A 20,510-nucleotide genomic window follows, 5' to 3' on the forward strand; every position below is an offset into this window, starting at 1 on the left:
ACCCCCAGTCGATGCCTAAAAACTCCGATGGTAACGAACCCTATATATACTGTTTTTTTCTTATACATACATACCTGATAGTTTAATTTATAAATTAGGCATGGTAAGAGATTAACAATAACTACTAATAAAATAGAGCAATTATGCCAACATGCTGGCAACACTACTCTTGCGCTTTGGGGCCATTACTAAGTAAAATAAGGATTACTTGAACACAAGTACTATGATATTACAACAGTCGATTTGAAAACGGAGATGGCTAGTGACTAATGGGGGACATACAGAGGGTTATCCAATCCACTGCTGTGGTATCTCAGTGCATGTGTCCAGGTAACCCTTACTGCACTTAATAATGGCCCAAGATGGCTACCAAGTGACTAATGAGTGGGTAGCATCTACAATGTAAAGCTAAACAAAGGGATGATTCACATCCTGGGCGGGACAGAGCAGGACAATGTGAGGTCTCATCACGTTTCTCAGAACAGCGTGCTACTTAAAACTAACAAAATGTTTACTTCTGAAATTTTCCTTTTAATATTTTTGGATCATGGTTGACCATAGGTAACTGAAACCCCAGAAAGTGAAACCACGGATAAGGACTACTGTATTACCAACATCCTTATTTACTTCTGGGCAATTGAGTCCATTACTTTTGAGTCACAATAAAAATCCTTGATCACTTGTATTAAGTAGAAACCAAACAGTGCCCAAATGTTGGGTTACAAACTTTCCTTTCAGTCATCAACCAAACACTGTCTTCATAAATAGTATCAATTCTGATAACCTTGTCTGTCTTTCTTTGGATAACCACGCTTGCTCCTTATATCTGCCAGTTCTCCTGAAGAACCACTTACTCAAAGTCCTTGAAATTCCCCAAACCAATAAATGAAAACATATGCCTAGAGAACCCCCAAATTACTGTTATTAGTCAGCCAGTTTATTCCGAAGTGTAATCTTTTCTTATCCCTTAACTGCAATTCCTAGAGTTTCGCGGCTTAGCCATTAACTAACTACACAAACATACAGGTTCACGTGCCAAACCAAAAGTAATTAATTTTTAAGGCTAGGAGAAAATTACTCTTGCTTATGACTTCCTACTGGAATAGATCATTCTTTCTGTGTCTTTTAAAAGTACTAACAAATATGATAGTTTATGCTTCTCACAACTTAGCTGAACACTATTCTAACAGTAATGTTTCTATTAAGGAGAAAATAGGTTTATCTTAAAATTCAAATTTGCAAAATTCAAATTTGCAAATAAGTTAATATAGTATACACCCAGATTTCTTGAGGTGGAATAAACACAATCCATCAATTTTCTTTTTTCTTTCTTCTTACTCTTTTTCATTTTTTGAGACAAGGTCTCACTCTGTCACCCAGGCTGGAGTCCAGTGGCAGGAACATGGCTCACTGCAGCCTTGACTTCTTGGGCTCAGGTGGTACTCCCACCTCAGCCTCCTGAGTAGCTGGGACTACAGGTGGACACCACTATGCCCGGCTAGTTTTTGTATTTTGTATTTTTTGTAGAGATGGGGTTTCACCATATTGTGTAGACTGGTCTCAAACTCCCGGGCTCAAGCAATCTTCCCTTGGCCTCCTAAAGTGCTGGGATTATAGGTGTGAGCCACTACGCCCCACTGGCAATGCTTCCATTTTCTTTTACCCCCAGCACTACACACATTGACACCCCCACCCCCACAGCAATCCATTTTCTAGGTTTTTGTAATAGGACATTCTCCTGGTTTCCGCCTCTCTTAGGACCTTTTTTTTTTTTTTTTTTTTTTTTTTCCGAGACAGAGTCTTGCTCTGTCGCCCAGGCTGGAGTGCAGTGGCATGATCTCAGCTCACTGCAACCTCTGCCTCCCAGATACAGGCAATTCTCCTGCCTCAGCCTCCTGAGTAGCTGGGATTATAGGCGCCTGTCACCATGCCCAGCTAATTTTTGTATTTTTAGTAGAGACAGAGTTTCACCATGTGTTTCACCATGTTGGCCAGGCTAGTCTCGAATTCCTGACCTCGTGATCCCCCCACCTCGGCCTCCTAAAGCGCTGGGATTACAGGGGTGAGCCACGGCGCCTGGCCTAGGACCTTTGTTTTTTAAGTCTCTGTTTCTCAATCCTCTATATGTTGAAATGCTAAAGTACTTAGTGCCTGTTTTCTGCTCTGTTTTCCTCATTCTGTTCATTTCCTCCTAAGATGATTTCATTAAGTTTGAAGACTTTCAATACCCAATATATATGCTGCTAATTCCTAAATTTATAACTCTAGCCCCAACTATCCTCTGACAACCACACCCTTACATATAACTATCTACTGACATCTATCTCCACTTGGATATGTCTAATAGACATCTTCCAAATGGAGTCTATATAAGACAGAATTCCTGATCCTCTTCTCCCCCTTAATCCTACTTCTTTTCCATCCTTCCGCATCTCAGTCAATGGCTCAATATCCATTCAATTGCTCAGCCAAAAACCTAGCTATAATCACAGATTCCGTTCTTCCCCTCATTGTCTCCCTACACCTAACCGTTAGCAAGTCTTATCACAAAATATTAGGCTCTTTAAGTAGTCTCTCTCCTCTACTCCTGCCCCTCCAAGCCATTCTTGCCGTAGAAGTCTTAAATGCAGTCTAAATGCAGTCTAAAATGCAGCCATCTGAGAAAAGGTTCCCTGATCTCTCCACTTAAAGCAGAGGATTCCTTCCCCAGCTCCTTTCAACTCCTCACTGGTCCTGAAATTGTCTCATGAATAAGCTCCATGAGGGCAGGGTTTCTATTGGGGTTACTTTGGGATTCCAGCATTTAAAACAGTGTCTGGTACACTGTAGGTACTTAATAAGTTGAATTGAATGAATGAATGTTGAGCTTGAGCCAAATATCCAAATGTTAAGCTGGATACATTATTCAACTTTATCTAGTTTCTGATTGTTAAAATTTAGTTTTTCCATAAAAGGTCATTCTAAGAAAAAAAGGTTTTATTAATACATACCAGTTTAATAATAAACAGCAATACACAAATTTCCTGGTGGATGTTAAGCACTTTTAAATTTAGGTACAAATTTTACCGGGAGCCAACATCTTAGTTTATTTTAAAAACCTATTACTTTGATGAATTAATAATGTCCACAGGGTTCTGAAAACTACTGTGTAAGTAACAAATAAGCAAATTATCTCTACTGGCACAGGCAAAGCCTGATTAATTATTTTAGGTAACTTGTTTCCCAACTAGTTTGTCTGGGACAGAATAACCAATTTTGGGATGATTTGTATGTATCTTGCGGCTCTTCTTTTCTCTGGTGCCTACTTTTGGTCAGTTTTATTAGAGCAAAGTCATTTTATTTTTTTTTGTTAGCTGCTAGCAATGTTCAGGAAAGGGAATTTAGGTATAATTGGTTTATGTCAAAGTTATGAATATGCCTGATATCTTTCTTGGGAGGATAAATGAGATCGTGCACGTGAAATGCCTAGCACTGTGCCTGGCACATAGTATATGCTCAAAAAATGGTCGATGTTGTTAGCCTTTCTGTGTTTTCACTAGGCCAGTGGTTTCAGCTCGTATATTAGAATCATTAGGGCCATATAGAATATGAGTGCCTAGGCCCCACCTTCAGATACTTGGCTTTTGTTGGTCTCAGGTGGAGTTCAGGCACTGGCATGTTTTAAAGGCTACCCAAGGGATTCTAATATGTTACCAGGATGAGATGATGCTCTAGATTCTATCAAATGATCAACACTAATAACTCTCATGCCTCGCTTGGGGGTAAAGTTTATCTACACTTTGAGATACGCGCACACACACACACACACGTATATATATATATATTTAGATATCTATATGTATATACACAATCACATAATTACTGCCATATATCAATAGTAGTCTATGTGTGAATTGCCTCTGCAGTCATTTTGCCTTCTCCATTATCAAACTGAGAAGCTAATTCACAACTTTTCTGGAGATGCAGTTACCAAATGCTTTGTGATTTGTAACCTGACTCTCACTGCTTCTCCAGATATCAAACTGAACACACACACCCTCATTCTCATTTATTCTCTTTCTTTTGAGCTCTTAAAACTGCTATGTGACATATGGATTTAAATTATTTCCAAAAAGTGCTAAAGGACTTAATAAAGATCCTTAAGATTGATTGAGATACCTTGGGGACTGGCTAACCTGAATTGGAGACAATGGTCTTACCCTTTCATAACATTTAGTATTATGTTGTGAATGTAAGAGATAATGGATAAAAAAATAGACTTGAAATGTTACTCTTTGAATAACAGATCAAAACCTGTAGGGTTTTTTTTTTTTTTAAATGATGAGATTCAGAATAACTTCTTTGGAAATGTTATTTCCTTAGAAAAAGTAAAAAAGATGGACCACCATTTATGGTGGATCTGAATGCTCATAAAGATTTATGACAGATGGACAGAAGGAAGGAAGAAAAAAATATGTAGGAGGTTATAGTCTAACAAACCACTGACTTTAAAAAACAATGGCCTACTTTCTTACACGTAAGCTTGTGATAAAGTATGGGATCACTGCTAATACATTACAATTTCATATGCTTTTATGCAGACAAATGACTGATCTTGGCACACTTAGTGGCAGAAAAAGATAGAGTAATAAGGGCAGCACAAAGTATGTGGGGCAAGATACATTTTAAACTATTTAGTAGGCAAAAAATGTTCTGGCTTATACCAATCAAAGGCCAATAGAATACATTGCACAATTTCACCGACAATAATCAATACAAATTAAGGCAATACTTTAGTGTATTCAACACTAAAAACAGATAACAAACACTTCTTACTTTCTTTTTAATGGAATTTGAGAACAAAATTTGTTGGTCCCAAATAAAGACAATGCTCACATTTCAACTAGTTTTTAATTAAGTGCTTAAAATGAGATGATTTAACTTAATATTCAGGAGTTGTATTTCACATACCACTGATCAAAATAATCCTAAAATTTCTCTATCTCAATAATAATGATAATAATGACAACAAGCTTTTTTAAATGAACATTTTAACAAGAAGGTAAGCAGGAAGGACCTCTCTCCAGCTGTCCTCACCTGTTGCAGAATTGCTCCCAGGGAGTTCTTGTCTTTTTGATTGACACCATCTTTCTGGAGTCTAGCAAGTAGCTCCGGTTTCTTGTAGGCCTTCAGGGCCAGTAAGTGAATCACCCTGTCCCTGTATGGCCTCTGAGAGATGGTGCTGCTGCTATGTGTCTTTCGAATTGTATTTGCAGGGTTCATGGGGGTTGACCTTTTCCTCTCAGGAACTGTATCTGAAACAGCTTGAGGTGCTTTCCGAATTTGCACTCTTTTCCCTAAAGTCCAGTGGAAATGACATTGTTACACATTTGTGGGTTACAATATGAGCACCTCAGTTTCCACAATTCTGATTTAGGTACCTCTTCATTTCTAGAGGAAATAATAATAAAGGCCACTTTATTTCAATCTTTAAGAAGGCATGCAAACAGAAAGCATTTTAAATAAATGGTCTAAAATTTGAATTAGAAATTATTTTAATAAAATCATTTCTTGGAAATAATATGTATAATGCATGTATTTTGGTCATTTTGCTACAGAAAGATAATAACTAGTAACACAAACTGTAACAACAGACTTGATAACTTATATCTTAAATAAATATATGCCATTTCTGAAAAGCAAACTATAATACAGTGAACATGGTGAAATGTCAGAAATACCTGTCAGACCTCTCTAAGAACACACTCTTGGCTGAGCATTACGTTAGTAATTTCACACGTTCAGAAGCCACAAAGAGGGGGGAGGTCAACATCATGAGGCATCCGTTAGTGATATATATATATATATATATTTTTTTTTTTTACAGGCCAAGACAAATTTTAGGATTCATAAAACAAAACTAACCAACCAACCAACCAACCAGTCTCAGAGGGCACAAACAAATCTGTCCTCTGCAGTGCTGAGACTACACATGTGAGTTAGAGAAATGGAAAATGGTACAAAGGAGGCCTTCACACCATTCTCACATGGGCCAGTGCTGTTCATGTGGTTAACCCATTTGCTGTTTAGACTGAACACTGACACTTGGCAAGTGGCTACTTCTAGAACATGTGTGGGCTGAGGTGAACCGGGCATTATGTGTATGTGTGAAGCTATCCAGACATGCCTGGTCACTGACAATCCCAGCAACCGTTCCTTGCTGAAGAGACAAAAAGTAGCATGAAACTGTGTGAGACTCTCATTTTATGATTCTACAGGTGGAATCTTTTAGCTTGTTTAGGACACACTAAGCCCCAATTCTATGCCCTCTGGTTAAAGAAGGGGAAGAACTTGTAATGACATACGATGTGGACAAGTGCATTAGGAACAAGACTAACAACTAGAAATAATGGGTGGGTAAAAGCAGCTCCTATAAGCTGTGGTCTGGGGTGAAAACAGCTCACTGGGGCAGGAGCTTTACTGAATAGTAATTCTGTCCATGCTGGGCTCCCCAGGCCTGGTCAGAAGGCCTGTGTGTTTTGATTCCATCCTACCTCCAGTAAGGGAAAAAAGATGAATGCTCTCAAACTGAAACCTCTACTGGCTGGTATGTTTCTTTACTATCTGTACAAAACCAATTGCAAATATCAAACTATTACACAACAAAGGAACTCAACATTAAGGGGACACTGCCTAATGATAACAAAAACTTAAGTTATAATTAGAGTTTCAGAGATAGATTTAGATTGGGGTTTCTGTATTTTTCTTACATCAGCTGGAAACTTATGCACCAATTATGTGGGGGACACTGTGCTAAGAGCTGCATACACATTATCTCACTAGGTTTCACCTGAAAAGGCAGGTACCGTCCCCTTTCACAGATGAGAAAACTGAGGCTTTTAATGGGATATGCTCAAAGGGTAAAATCCTCACTTAGCATTTGGGAGGTTCTGTGATTTGATTAATACCTAATTTTCCTGCCTGTAAGTCTTTGTGGGAAAGGTTTTATGAACAAATGCCTAATGTTTGCTGTTGCTTTGTGTTAGGCTATAAGCTCTATGAGGGCAGGGCAGTGGCTGCTTTGTCCACTAGCATGCCTTAAATCAGTATTTGATGACTAAATGAATGACAGCGAGAGAGCAAGTAAGCAGAGGAGCAGGAATCAACACAGTCCATACTTCCCCACGTTGCCAGGCTGCCAGTGTGAATACACACTGAAATTTCTAATGTGGCAAAGGGAAACCATTTAATCCACCATTTCCCAGTTGCAACAGCGTTAACAAACATTAGCATTCCTTAAAATTTTAATAGGAAATATTTTTTAAAAATAGAGTCAAGTTCACAAGTTTAGAAAATGCTATAAATTCCACACTCCCTCCCCCTTAACAAGTCTTGCAAAAAAGAAATTTGTTTAACTCTTTTCCAAACCAAGCTAACAGTGAAGCCCTTCTTTCTTTCTGGGAAGGGGGATGGGCAGAGAATGTTTGTTAGCTAAGCTACACACACTAGGACTGGTCATTTAGGATGAATTCAAGCAGCAAGGCAAATAAAAATAAAAAGAGAAACTAACAGTACTGCCACTGTTTTCAGGTGCCCTACCTCCTCTGTACCTCTGATTCACCTCTGATCCTTATCTCAGGAGGTCTCCAAGGTCTACTGGGTTTATCCCCATGCTTCCCCAAAGCAGGTATGGAGAAGACAAATAAGGGAGGCTAACTTTGCCCTTAAAAGGGATATAAGTATGATGTTTGGCAAGAAAGTAAGAGCCTGATCAAGTGAAGACAGAACTAGAGTTTTACTTGGGGCCCATTGCTAGACTGTCATCTCCCCATGAATCCCCTACCCCCAAAACACTCACTTTGTCCTTTACCTCATTTTTCTTTTAGACAGCAAGTTAGGGGTTAACTCATATTTCATTCAAATGCTTGAAAGAACAACTCAGCCACACTGGACCACTGAATTATACTCAAAGATCACTTGTTCACTACCTCCCCATCCCTTTTGTGCCTATTCGACAAGGAAGGAATCCTCTGGTTTAAGGAAAGACAGGCTACAGATGAAGAAAACATCAGTGATAAAGGTACTTACAGAATTGAGATGCTAAAAGAAAAAATGAAAAAGTAAAGCAAGAAAATGTCAGGTTCAAAGTGGGCAGAAGAAAGGATTTATTTTTTATATTTGCCTCAGAAAAAAGCCATTTTAATAAAACCTATGGGAGAACCTAATTCTCTTCCCAGACCCAAATGCTAATCAACTCCCTGGGCTCTTTATATAAACAGCAGCAGTGGGTCCGACAGGGTTGGGTAGTCTGGGACAACAACTAAATCGCTGTTTCATAACAAGGAGTCCAATTCTAGCTTCTTCATTTAATAAAGATAGCAAAAGTATTTACCCCTCAGTCTAATGGCTTTGAGTAAACAGTCTGAAAGGAAGGTGTTAAAACATCCATCACAAAGACAGAAGGGACTGCAGCCATCTTCTGCAGTTGTTTTTCCATTCTGTGGAACCTGACCAGAAGCCTGGCAACACAGACCCAAGGCTTTAAAAACATCTGCAGGCTCATGACAATGACATGACTCTGTCATGGTTAACTACATAATCCATTGCAAGGGAAATCTCCACCACTTGGCATTTGTGACTACTTTTTCAAAAAGTTTACTACCAAAATATATATACTGAACATTCACAAAATGTTAGCACTACAAAGGACCTTAGATCTTGTCTAGTTCAAATACCCACCTTTTTTTTTAATATTTGAGAAAAGTAAGATGTTAAATGATTTGTCTGTCATCAAAAATAAGGAGGTTTGTTCACAAAGAGTAGAAATTGAAAAAAATAATAAGGAGGGTGGGCTGGAAGTTGGAAAAATTGGAAACAGAATCCTAGAAATTAGATTGGTTATTTTGTACACCTAAACAAATATTAGTACATATAAAAATTCATAATTTAATACACTTCCAAAATTTAGGTAGAAGTCAGTGAGCAGACTTAAAATATCGGTGAATTAGAAGCAGTGGTGACGAGTGATTTTTTTTTTTATATCAGTGTTTACCACTGATATAAATGTCATGAATACAAGTAAAAATATTACTGGAAGATAATGTTTTCTAGGTTAAAGCCTTTCCTGCTCCTCTCTAGGCAAATAGATTTTGGTTTCTTCTGCCCACGAGAGGGTTGCAGAAACTCATATTCCTGGGCAATGAGGCCAGGTGACCCCTAGGAACACAGTCTTCATTGCCTCAAACTGGCCTTCCTCCCTAGTCTAGCTGTCAGCCGTCATCACGCTACCACCATGCCACAGTGGGATCAGCATTATTCTCATTGGTCTTCTACCCAGGCTGACATTGTTGAAAGAAACCTTGTCCTGCAGGTACCTCGAAGCTGGCATAGGTAAACTTCTGGCATCATTTTATGTGATATAGTCTATTATTAATTAAAGGGGTATATCTTACTGTCTTAAGAAAAGCACAGAACTTGTTAATGAGATCACACTCATATAATTTGCTATTTGCTGATACCAACAATTTGGTATGTAAAATACAGAGAGAATAATAACATTCTTCATCGGGTGATTATGAGATTCCAATGAGTAACTACATGTGAGTGCTAACCAGTGCCTTGTGCACAGCAGGCACTCAATAAGTGCTGGGTTTTGTTAGTATTGAAGGGTGATTGATATTTTAAAGAACTGGATGAATCAGACAGTTTTGAGACACCCAAAGAGGCAGGAAGATACAGACTGAGCTGCCTGGAAGGAAAACAATATATGAGAAAGAGCTGGCAATGGATAAGGTTAAAAGAAAAAGATCAAAACATGACCTAACAAAATACAGTAAAAAAAAAAATCAAAACAGAAAACAAAAAAGCCAATCAGGATACTTGAATCCATTGCTCCCCTGTATTCAGAAATGATCACACTTTTTTTTTTTTTGAGACGGAGTCTCGCTCTGTCTCCAAGTTGGAGTGCAGTGGCACAATCTCGGCTCACTGCAACCTCCACCTCCCGGATTCAAGCGATACTCCTGCCTCAGCTTCCCGCTTAGCTGAGATTACAGGTGCACGCCATCATGCCCAGTTAATTTATTTTTGTATTTTTAGTAGAGACAGGGTTTCACCATGTTGGTGTTGGCCAGGATGGTCTCGATCTCTTGACCTCGTGATCTGCCCGCCTCGGCCTCCCAAAGTGCTAAGATTACAGGCGTGAGCCATCGCACCCGGCCTTGCTCAGACTTTTAAGAATAGTGTGGCCAGTTTTGAACTCTGAGGCGAAGAATTGGAGGCAGTCCAGAGGAGAGCAATAAAATAATCAAGGGGTTGGGATACAGGCCATACTAAGAAAAGATAAAAGGAGCTGGGGTTATTTGACCTAGAGAATAAAAGGCTGAGGAGGTTAAGAAAAGATTTATGACCACAGAAGAACACTGCTGTGACGGTGAGTGGCTAGGACACTGAGGACAAAGCAAAGAGGAAAAGGCCTACAGAGTGCCCGGATTGGCCGAGATCGATGCAAGCCTCTGCAGGGAGGAAGAGGGTGTACAGAGGGAGGCCAGCTCTTCTTAGGAGAGGGGAGGTATAATTTGGTTCACATGTAAACTCTGATAACCTCAAATTTCCTGTGGTCACCTCCAAAATGTATGTAAATTATTTGTAGTATCTATAAGAAACCTTGCAAGTTCTAAAATTCCCAGTACCATTAGGAAGTGTATGGACTGTGGGATTTTGGGTGTTGAAGTCTGTTGTGTAAGCTATAAACAAACTGTACTTGACTCTTTGAAAACAAACAAAAACACATGAACACAGATGACACCCAAGGACCATTCAATGGAAAAGTGCAGTCATCATCGCTGATTTTCAAGCTTTGGAATAAATCAAGGGGAGGGTTTTTTTTTCAGCTAGTTATATCGGGAAGGAAAAATATTGTTTTGATGGTTTCAGTCTTCTATTCCTTTGTCAAACACAACAATTTGCCTCACTGTTTATAAAATGGTGGTATTGGGCAGAGGAAAACAACATTTTCCAAGCAACAGGGGTAGATCATTCATAGTTTATACTTAAATGTAAGTGTGGTAGATCTTGTGTGTTTTAAAAACAATTTGAGATTTAGTCTACTAACCCAGAAAGTTAATTAAGTTACTTCTGGGGATAAAGGAGAAAGAAAGGAGGCTGGAAGTTGCTACCTCACTCAGCAGGAAAGAGAGGTGAAAAGTCTCATTGCTAGTAACTTACTGAGCAGGGAACTAGGCCCCATGGGTACAAATATCTGGGGAGGGGATGAATTGTTGTTAAACCAAACTAAATGTATCTAAGCTAAGCACCAAGCCCCAGGAGCATTTGCTTTGTTCCAAAGAAGTACTTATTAAAGACACTAGTGGAGCTTCTCAAAGCTGAATGTACTGTAGCTGGATCAGCAGTGGGAAAATACAGAAGTAGAATGAAGCCAAACCCTGGAAAGATGCTAGTTAAGGGACTTGGTTCTTCAAGAGACTTTCTGTGAGCGTTTAAGTTTCCAAATTAATATCCTTTCATCATTTACTATAGAGTGACTTGTGTTATTAAATTGACCAAGGACTCAAAGAGCTCCTCCTCACTCTTGATAATTCTATTACTGTTAATAGTCACCATGAATTGACTCCTTAAAGTTGTTAAGGTCACTGCTCATAAAGGAGAGACTCATCTTGCAAGTCTGGTCTTACTTCCCTTCAATCTGACAGACACTTGAGTGAGCTAATGATAAAAATGATGGGGGTCGGATAGGGTCTTAATTAATGGATAGATGAGGATGAGGATCACAACTGAGGAACCAAAGAGACATCAGTCTAATGCTCTGTTGTAATGCTTTGCTATAAGCACATTTTATATTTTTGTAATGAAAAATCCTTGTTGTACAAAGATGCTCTGAAAATGTAAGCAAAATCTACAACAATGAGATTATCAACCCATAAATTCTACTAATAGATTTTACTATAAAAATAGCCCTACAAAAAGGCAAAACAAGAACCATAGTATCCATCACTGAAATTACATCATCTAGTGACAAAGAAAACACAACGGTACCACGATTGCAACTTCACGCAGTAATGTGACCAGATCCCAGTACTATAAAATAATAGTAAGTAGCCAACGAAGATTCAGGATTTAGGAAAGTCATAGAACTTTAAAATATGCTCTTCAATTTACTGGCAGTCTGAAGAGAACAAATAACTTTGTTTTTCTCACCATGTTATCCAAAATGTTCTGAAAACTAGTTTCTGTGTTTTCATTAAGTTAATATTACTGGTATTTACCTATGGTGATCTTGAATTACTCCAATCAATCAGCAAGAGGAAGAAAGATATCTATACAAACCTACATATGGTCCACCGGGTTTGATAACTTTTGTGCTTCGGTTGCGGGATTCCTCCTCTGCCTGGGTCATTCTTTCTCGTGTCATCTGATACGAGTCGTTTGTTGCACACACTGTAATTTTATCTTGTATAAATCCCAGGCAATTGAGCTGGGAGGCTCCAGAGCTGTCAAGTAAGTCAGTGGCTTTGTTAGACATGACCTTCATTTTGTACAATAAAGGCAAACAAGAATTATATAATCCTAAAATCAGCAGCCCAACTAAGTTTGCAATCCTAAAATAACTAATATTAATTTTTAAATGTAAATGCTATTTAAAATATCTAAGATCCTTCTCTTCACTTTTTTTCATATTCTTTATATAATGGATGAAGTGAGCTCTCAGAGACCAAATCCATAAAATTTTGAAAAAGAAAAAAAATCAGTATTTAGAGTGAGACCAGAGTTCTGATGGGCATTGTAGTTGTTTTATTTAACTGTTAACTATTTTAAAGAATTATCTAACACTGATATGAGGAAAGTTAAAAAGTTTAGTTTTAGTAAAACCACAATATACATGGTCTGGACTGACTAGTTGAAACGGACTCACCACACATTCTTTTTTATTTTAAATAATATATTAATTTTAAGGCTAACATACTGACAAAAATTAAAGCTTACTTTAATATTATTAGTCCAAAAAGTTCCTAAAAATTTGCAGAATTTGTATTTACTTTGTTAAATCTCTATATAAGATGACCTACTTATTAGCAAATGTTGAAGAAAACACAGGGCAAATGATTTTTATAGCAATTTTTTTTTAAAGGCCAGGCACGGTGGCTCATCCCTGTAATCCCAACACTTTGGGAGGCCAAGGCAGGTGGATTGCTTGAGTTCAGGAGTTTGAGACCAGCCTGGGCAACATGGAGAAACCCCATCTCTACAAAAATTAGCTGGGCATGGTGGCGTGTGCCTGAAGTTCCAGCTAGTCAGGAGACTGAAGTGGGAGGGTCTCTTGAGCCCAGGATGTGAAGGTTGCAGTAAGCTGAGATGGCGCCACTGCACTCCAGCCTGGGCAACAGAATGAGACCCCATCTCAAAAAAACAAAACAGAACAAAACACTTTTTATTGAAATAATCATGAATATTAACATGGACCTAGAAGATGGCTCTGTTTCAAAGTAACATGTTAATATTAGGGGGATCATGGTCACAGTCATAACTGGTATTTTATAAAGAAATTGCTATGGCCTGAAAACAAACTGGAATATAAAACTAATGAAAGTGACACTACAGCTCTGATCATCTATATCCAAACTTAATTAGAAGTAACTTTGTTATAATACAAAGAAATAAAGGTTGATAATTTTTTTTTGAGATGGAGTCTCGCTCTGTTGCCAGGCTGGAGTGCAGTGGTGCAATCTTGGCTCACTGCAAGCTCTGCCTCCCGGGTTCAAGTGATTCTCCTGCCTCAGCCTCCCAAGTAGCTGGGACTACAGGCACATGCCACCATGCCCAGCTAATTTTTGTATTTTTAGTAGAGACAGGGTTTCACCATGTTGGCCAGGATGGTCTTGATCTCTTGACCTCATGAACACTCGCCTTGGCCTCCCAAAGTGCTGGGATTACAGGCGTGAGCCACCGCACCTGGCTGATAAAATCTTTATAAATTGCTAATAACTGTCTTTACAAATGCTATTTAAGAAAAACACACACACAAAAACCAGTTAATTCATCTCATAAATATTTATTGGGCAGGGACTGCATGCCTAGCAATGTGTGAAGCAGAGAGGTTGTGACAAGAACTAACAGTTGTGGTCCCTCTTTCAAGGAACTAATGGGTGACAAGGATGGACAAACTGGAAATCATAACACAGTGTGACAAATTCCAGGGAGCAGAGGACTCCCAGAAAGGTAATCTCACCTGGACTTCCCAGAGGAGGTGATGCCTGAGGTGATCTAGAAAGATGACTGGGCAAGGGGGAAGAAGAATGAAAGTGTTCAGGGAGGACAACTAATCTGTGCAGGGCCAGGAAGAGCAAAAAGAAGGTTTTCAAATTGTCCAAAGAAAGTTGGGAAGGACAATTACAGCTGAAGCTGAAGAGGGAATGAGAAATACATCACAAAGGGCTCTGAGGGTCATGTGTTACAGGTTTTGGACCTTATCCAAAGGATAACGAGAGGCTGAAATCAGGGGAGAGAAAATAACTCATTTGTATTGCAGAAAGCTCAATCTGGATGGAGGATAGATTGAGAGGAAGGGGGACACCAGAAGGAAAGAAAAGAGGCCACTTAGGATGCTACTGAAGGATTACAGGCAAGCAGTGATGGCATGAACCAGAGTAGGGCAGTGAGAGTGTAGAATAGTACACAGCTTCCAGAGATAGTGAGGAAGTGGAACTGACAAAACGTGGTCAGTAGTTAGCCACACTCAGAGAGAGGTGGGGGAAAAAAGTTAAAGATCATGCCCAGGTCACGAGGTATATGGAAGCTGCTATGTACTGAAACACTGAACACAAGATGAAGGACAGGTTGGGAGACAGGACTGGGACAAAGAACATAAGTTCAGTGTTGGAGATGGTGACCTTGAAGGAATGAGGAGAGAAGGGGTCTCAGGAGGGAACCAACTGTGAAGAACACTAGTATTTAAGCAAAAGGAAGAAAAGAAGACCACATGAGACTGAAAAGCCACAGCTACAGAGGTAGGAAGGAAACCAGAAGAGTACTGTGTAATGTAAGCCACTGGAACAGACGCTTCAAGCAGGAGAGAGTGGTCAACAGTGTGCAACACTGGCAACAAGTCCAGAATAATAAGGAACCAATAACACATCCACTGGATTTTGGGGGCAGGGAGGTCACAGCTCCCTTGGGGAAGCAGTTTCAGTGGAATGGTGGGCACTGAAGCCAGACTTTGGGTTGAGAAGTGAATGTAAGAGAGGTTGTTTTTGTTTTTTATTTTCTTTTTTAATAAGACAGACTTGAGCATGTTTGCATGCCAAAGGAAAAAAAAAAAACCCACTGACAGAGGAATGCTGAGAGAGGGGAAGGTAATCCTCAGAGGAAGTGGGAGAGAGGGGGGAGAGTGGGAGAAAATGACTGCAATAGAGTGAAGGTCTGGTGGCAGAAAGTTTGTATTTCAACATCTCTTCCTATTATTTACTAAGTAATTTACATAGTGAGAATAAGCTGAACATACTGCCCCTCATGCGAAGTCAGAAAACAGATCTTTATGCAAAACAAACGGAGCTAAACGCTGTAGGCAAGAAGGTACTCTCTAGAATTCTTCACTCATCCCTTCTCAACCGAGTTACCCTGAAAGTTTAAATATTTTAGACAAATGTATATAAATGCTCCCTTAGTCTTTCTCTAGCCTAGCTCACCATTTCCTTCGCTTAAGTGTGCATTATTATACACTATAGGTCCTAGACTATATATTTTTCACTAAGTCTGAAAATGGGTAGACTTAAGGAATTTTTGAAAGGCAATTTTGACTGTGACATTGATTTCATTTTATATATGAGAAAAGTGAGAATCAAGGAAGTTTAAAAATATAGATAAGAAGACTAGTTAATTTGTATTTGTTGAACATTTATTTACTGAGCATCTGTTTTTACCCTTTTATCTCCAGGTTGAGTCAATAAGCATGTATTTTGAGCTCAGTCAGCACTGTGAAATTAGAAAAAGGGCATAAGAAAGCCTCTGACCTTGAAGAGCATGCACTGTGGTCAGAGAGAAAAGATCCATAAGGAAAATGGAAATTAAATTGAATGGAAAAGGTGAAGCCAGATTATGGACAGGTCAGCTTGCCAGGCTGTGAAGTGAAAGCCTGAGAACAAAAGCTAGTGCTTTTGTTTTCCTAGTGGCAGACTTCAATTTATACCCTTACTACCTCATTTTATAAGGCACCTTGGATTATACAGAGGGGATACATTTGCCCCAATATTTTCACAATAAGTGTTTCTATTCTCTTACTGCATCATACATAGTTTTGTAAGTGACCTTAAATCCTTTCCAAACAAGGAAGGTAGAAATAACCACACAGGGTATTTATAATGTAAGAGTAAAGCCATATTACTTACAATGATATGAATGCTTTTGAAGAGAGGATTAAGCTCCTTAATAAAATTCCTAAGGGGACATTGTTCAATTTGATATCAAAATGTGCTCACTATAATAAAACAACAATCTAGAGACAAGCACCACAATTAAAAATTAGTGTACCATGTTGTGTGTAAAGAATACTGGGGTGGGAATTAGAAGAACTCAGTTCTCATTTAGCCTAGCCACTAACTAACCAGCTACATAACTCTGGATAAATCACCTGTGAAATGAAGGGATTGACTCACACAATCACTAAGGACCCTAATACTTGGTGATTCTATAATCTATCATAGTGCTGATCAATAGAACATTTTGCAAGAGTGAAAATGTTATATAACTGTGCTGTCTACTATGATAGTAACAGGTAGCTACTGAGACCACAAAATGTGGTTAGTGTGAATGTGCAATGATGTTTTAAATTTTATTTAATTTTTTATCAGTTGAAATGTAAATAGCCAATGTGGCCAGTGGCCATCACAGTGGACAGCACAGAAAAGTCTATATAATCTACAATATAGCAATTTATGCCAAAACATTTAAGTTTGAAGGTGGGTAATTTTCAGAAAGCAACATGAATATATCCTTGGGGAAAATGACAGATTAAATAACAAAAAGTTACGTAGACACCTTAAATGGGAGGATAAAGGTAAAACTCTGTCAGTGTCTTATTTTGTATCTCTGCCTCCTGTACCTGCTGGAAACACAACTTTGCTTCTTCTTTTCCCCCACATTGAGCAAGTACTTACATAGTTTCAAGTACTGCACAGATAAGTCACAGAGATACGCTGGTCTAGGGTACTTGGGGCTAATGTCAAAGCCTTACATGAGGAGGAAATGAGAGAGACCCTAACCTCCCTTGTCTATATCCAGGGGCAGAACAAACTCCTGCTCAAGGGCCTATTCTTTAATCAGAAACAACCAAAGCAATGAAGAGTGAAACAAGTGGCTTATTGTTTACAGAGGATCTAAGTAGATAAGCGTCCCATGGTACCCTAGGGTGTGGGTGTGTATATTCTTGTCTTCCTCCTCCTTTTTTTTTTTTTCTTTTTTTTTAAGAAGAAGGAGAGACTGCTTTACTGGGTTAATTTCTAGTTTCCATGCAGCTGTAGAATAAAGATGTTTAAAAATCTACCTTCTACCTTAGAACATGGCTTGAACAGGGAAGAAGGAAGAAAGCATGCAAGATGGATATTTTTAACTTCTTTACCCTGGAGTATGAGCCTCAAATATGCTATAAGATTCTTGCTTAAATTCAATGAATTAAATATTTCTAAAAAAAATCCTCAAATTGCCTTTAGTTTTCAAAAACTGCATTTTTATAGGTTAAAAAATATCTTCTGTACCTTAAAAGCCCCATTAGACCAAAAATCTTTGAACTGTTGTGATTATATCCCCATTACAAATGAAATTTCTATTACACAGTAGGTGCTTAATATTTTTCAGATAAATAAATGAGCTCTGTAATTCAATTTAATACACGTTTATGGATGAATATTATGTATTGTATTGTTTAATTTTCTAAAACCCTCTTAAATAAAAAATTTTTCCCCTTCAGTGTACCTTGAAAAGTACTTACCTGGAGAATGTTTGCTGGATGCAGTCAAAGCTGCCCTGAGGGTTGTCTTTGCCCACATTTGACAAATAAAAGTTAAAGTTATGAACTTCATTGAGGGGATCATTTTTGGGAATTTTGACAAGCTAAAATGAGGGGAAAAGAGAGAAACGCCTCAAATTATAAATTTGCCATAGAAAAGTCTTAAGACTGACTTACTGGTTTTTCTAGTGAAAATCATTTTAGACCTAAGCCCTTTTGATATATACATCCTCGCAGCATTTAAATGACCAAACAATTCAAGGAATCTGGCAAACATGCCTATAACTTACCAGATTCTTATTTCCATTTTCTACCTTTAAGTGTCAGTAATCACTTCTGCTCAATAGTTTCTATTAGTTTATAAGAGGAACCCTTTTCATTTCAAAGTAGCAAATGGTTACAGTTCTTATGAAAGAGTTATTAGTGAATTTGTAAAAAGCTCTTCCTCTTTTGAGCAATACAAGTTTTGTCTTTGGCTTACATGACCCCCTTCTAAATAGCTTCTATATATTGAAGCAATCTCTGAGATAAGAGTCCATATCCGAATCTTTGGCTCTTATAATAAAAAAACACATTTCATTTTAATTCTTGCTTCTTAGAGCAGTATTTTTGAACTTCTTAGAGTAACAGCATAAGGTTAATGCCATAATTGCATTCACAGGTAAAAACTGCTGTCCTAAGATGCCATTATACATCCTCATGTTTACAGAAACAGGGTCTGCAGCCTACAGAGATGATTCTGTAGGTCACTCCTAGGCTAAGCCCCAGGAAACACTGTGGAACAGGAAGATGTATTTTCTTTGTTGTTGTTGTTATTTTTATTTTTAAATTTTTAATATTTATTTATTTATTTATTTATTTATTTATTTATTTATTTATTTATTTTTGAGACGGAGTCTCGCTCTGTTGCCCAGGCTGGACTGCAGTGGCGCGATCTTGGCTCACTGCAACCTCCACCTCCCCGGTTCAAGCAATTCTCTGCCTCAGCCTCCTGAGTAGCTGGGATTATAGGTGCCCGCCACTACGCCCAGCTAATTTTTTTGTATTTTTAGTAGAGACGGGGTTTCACCACAGGCAGATGTATTTTCTACACTCTTGTTCAAGGGCTGGCTTCCCTACTAGATGAGAAGTCCCAGGAGCAAAGGGACAGAGTTGTTAAAGACCACTGAGGTCCTGCATTGGCCACATTGCCTGATATGTAGTAGGGGCTCAAAAAAGGTGTGTGCAATTGGAATCTTCTGTCCTTCAACTGCTCCACTCTTCCTAGTGTCTGAAACCTTTCCTCCCTTGGGTCTGCATGGTGTTAGGTGATAATTAAAAAAAAGGATTAGTTGGCAAGAATGTAAAATATGACTTAACCGAACTTCAGCTCCCAAACATACAGTCTTAGTAATTTAGCAGACAAGTAGGGAAGGGAAAAGTGTTTTATAATCCTCATTCTCCAAAAAATCTGTCCTTTCCATTATAAGATGAAGACAGCACTAACTTGCTGCTTAGCGTGTATGCACTCACACTCATGAATGGGCACAGGCATGGGCAAAGGCATGTATGATTCCTGCCTTTGCTCTGCCCTGCAAGATAACCTGCAACCACTGAATTGCTCAATCTAAAAGTCTCCCAAACCTTGACCTATAGGAAAGAACTGCAGTCACCAATTCCTGCCTTCCCTTCCTCCCAACCCTGGAAAAAGGTAAAAAGAAAAAAAGGTAAGAAGGGAGACAATTGTAGTATCTGGCACATAGTAGACATATAATAAATATTTGTTGAAGGAATAAATGAACAAGAAGTAATAAATCAAAGAAAAATGTTTTTTGAAAGGAGATTCAGATGACTTGTATAGAGCTTTAAAAGGTCAAATTTCACCAAAGATACTATAGATAGATAATACTCCATAGAGCCTCCATCATCCATGAATTTAAACTATCTTTGACTCCCTATTTGAAATTAGAGACAACTCCTGGCACAAGTTTCTGTGTTTTTATCTATTTTATAAATATCTTTTGAGGGCCCTAACGTTACTCTTTAATTCCCAAAACTTTCCCCAGTTCTAAAGTGCTGTAACTTTGTGAACAAGTCTTAATTTACTCTGTAGGTAGGTATTCATCAGGCTGTCTTACTGGGTGTGCACGCTCAGCGCCTAGTTGGCATACATATATTGGCAACTTCTTAATCCTACAGCAGTAGAGGCAAACAGGAGCCAAAGGAATGCTTGCGTCAGGCACAAGAGAACATAAGGCTACCTGCATACTGGTATAACAGTACTCACTAATGTCTGCTTTTGTTTCTCTGGGAAGAGCAGGGTTCTGCTGACAGAGAAGGGATATGCCTAGATAGGTAAGAAAGGTGTGGACACCTGAATGAAATCCCCTCCCTAGGCATGACTCATTTAACTTCCATCCATCTTCTCCCCTAACCCTTCATCTAGATCTGCAGAACCTGGTTGGAGAAATTTTAAAAGTGGTTTTAAAGAGGTCTCATCTCCATATGATATTTCATCTTCCTATGAGGCTCCAGC

General features: G+C 38.6%; 1 protein-coding gene across 5 annotated transcripts in view; it reads right to left on the reverse strand.

Annotated features, from left to right (window-relative positions):
• The window catches only part of ELL2 (elongation factor for RNA polymerase II 2), a 76,754-nt gene that overhangs the window by 16,349 nt on the left and 39,895 nt on the right, over positions 1 to 20,510 (reverse strand). For 4 of the 5 annotated variants that reach the window (NM_012081.6, XM_017009240.3, XM_047416959.1 and 1 more), the window contains exons 3-5: positions 17,978 to 18,099; positions 12,325 to 12,488; positions 5,077 to 5,336 (exon numbers count right to left, since the gene is read on the reverse strand). In NM_012081.6, the coding sequence (NP_036213.2) occupies positions 5,077 to 5,336; positions 12,325 to 12,488; positions 17,978 to 18,099 (546 nt within the window). The remainder of the gene's footprint in view (positions 1 to 5,076; positions 5,337 to 12,324; positions 12,489 to 17,977; positions 18,100 to 20,510) is intronic. The other variant, XM_047416960.1, reaches the window with a different exon arrangement.

Source organism: Homo sapiens, chromosome 5 (assembly GCF_000001405.40).
Source record: "Homo sapiens chromosome 5, GRCh38.p14 Primary Assembly".
Taxonomy (NCBI): Eukaryota; Metazoa; Chordata; class Mammalia; order Primates; family Hominidae; genus Homo; species Homo sapiens.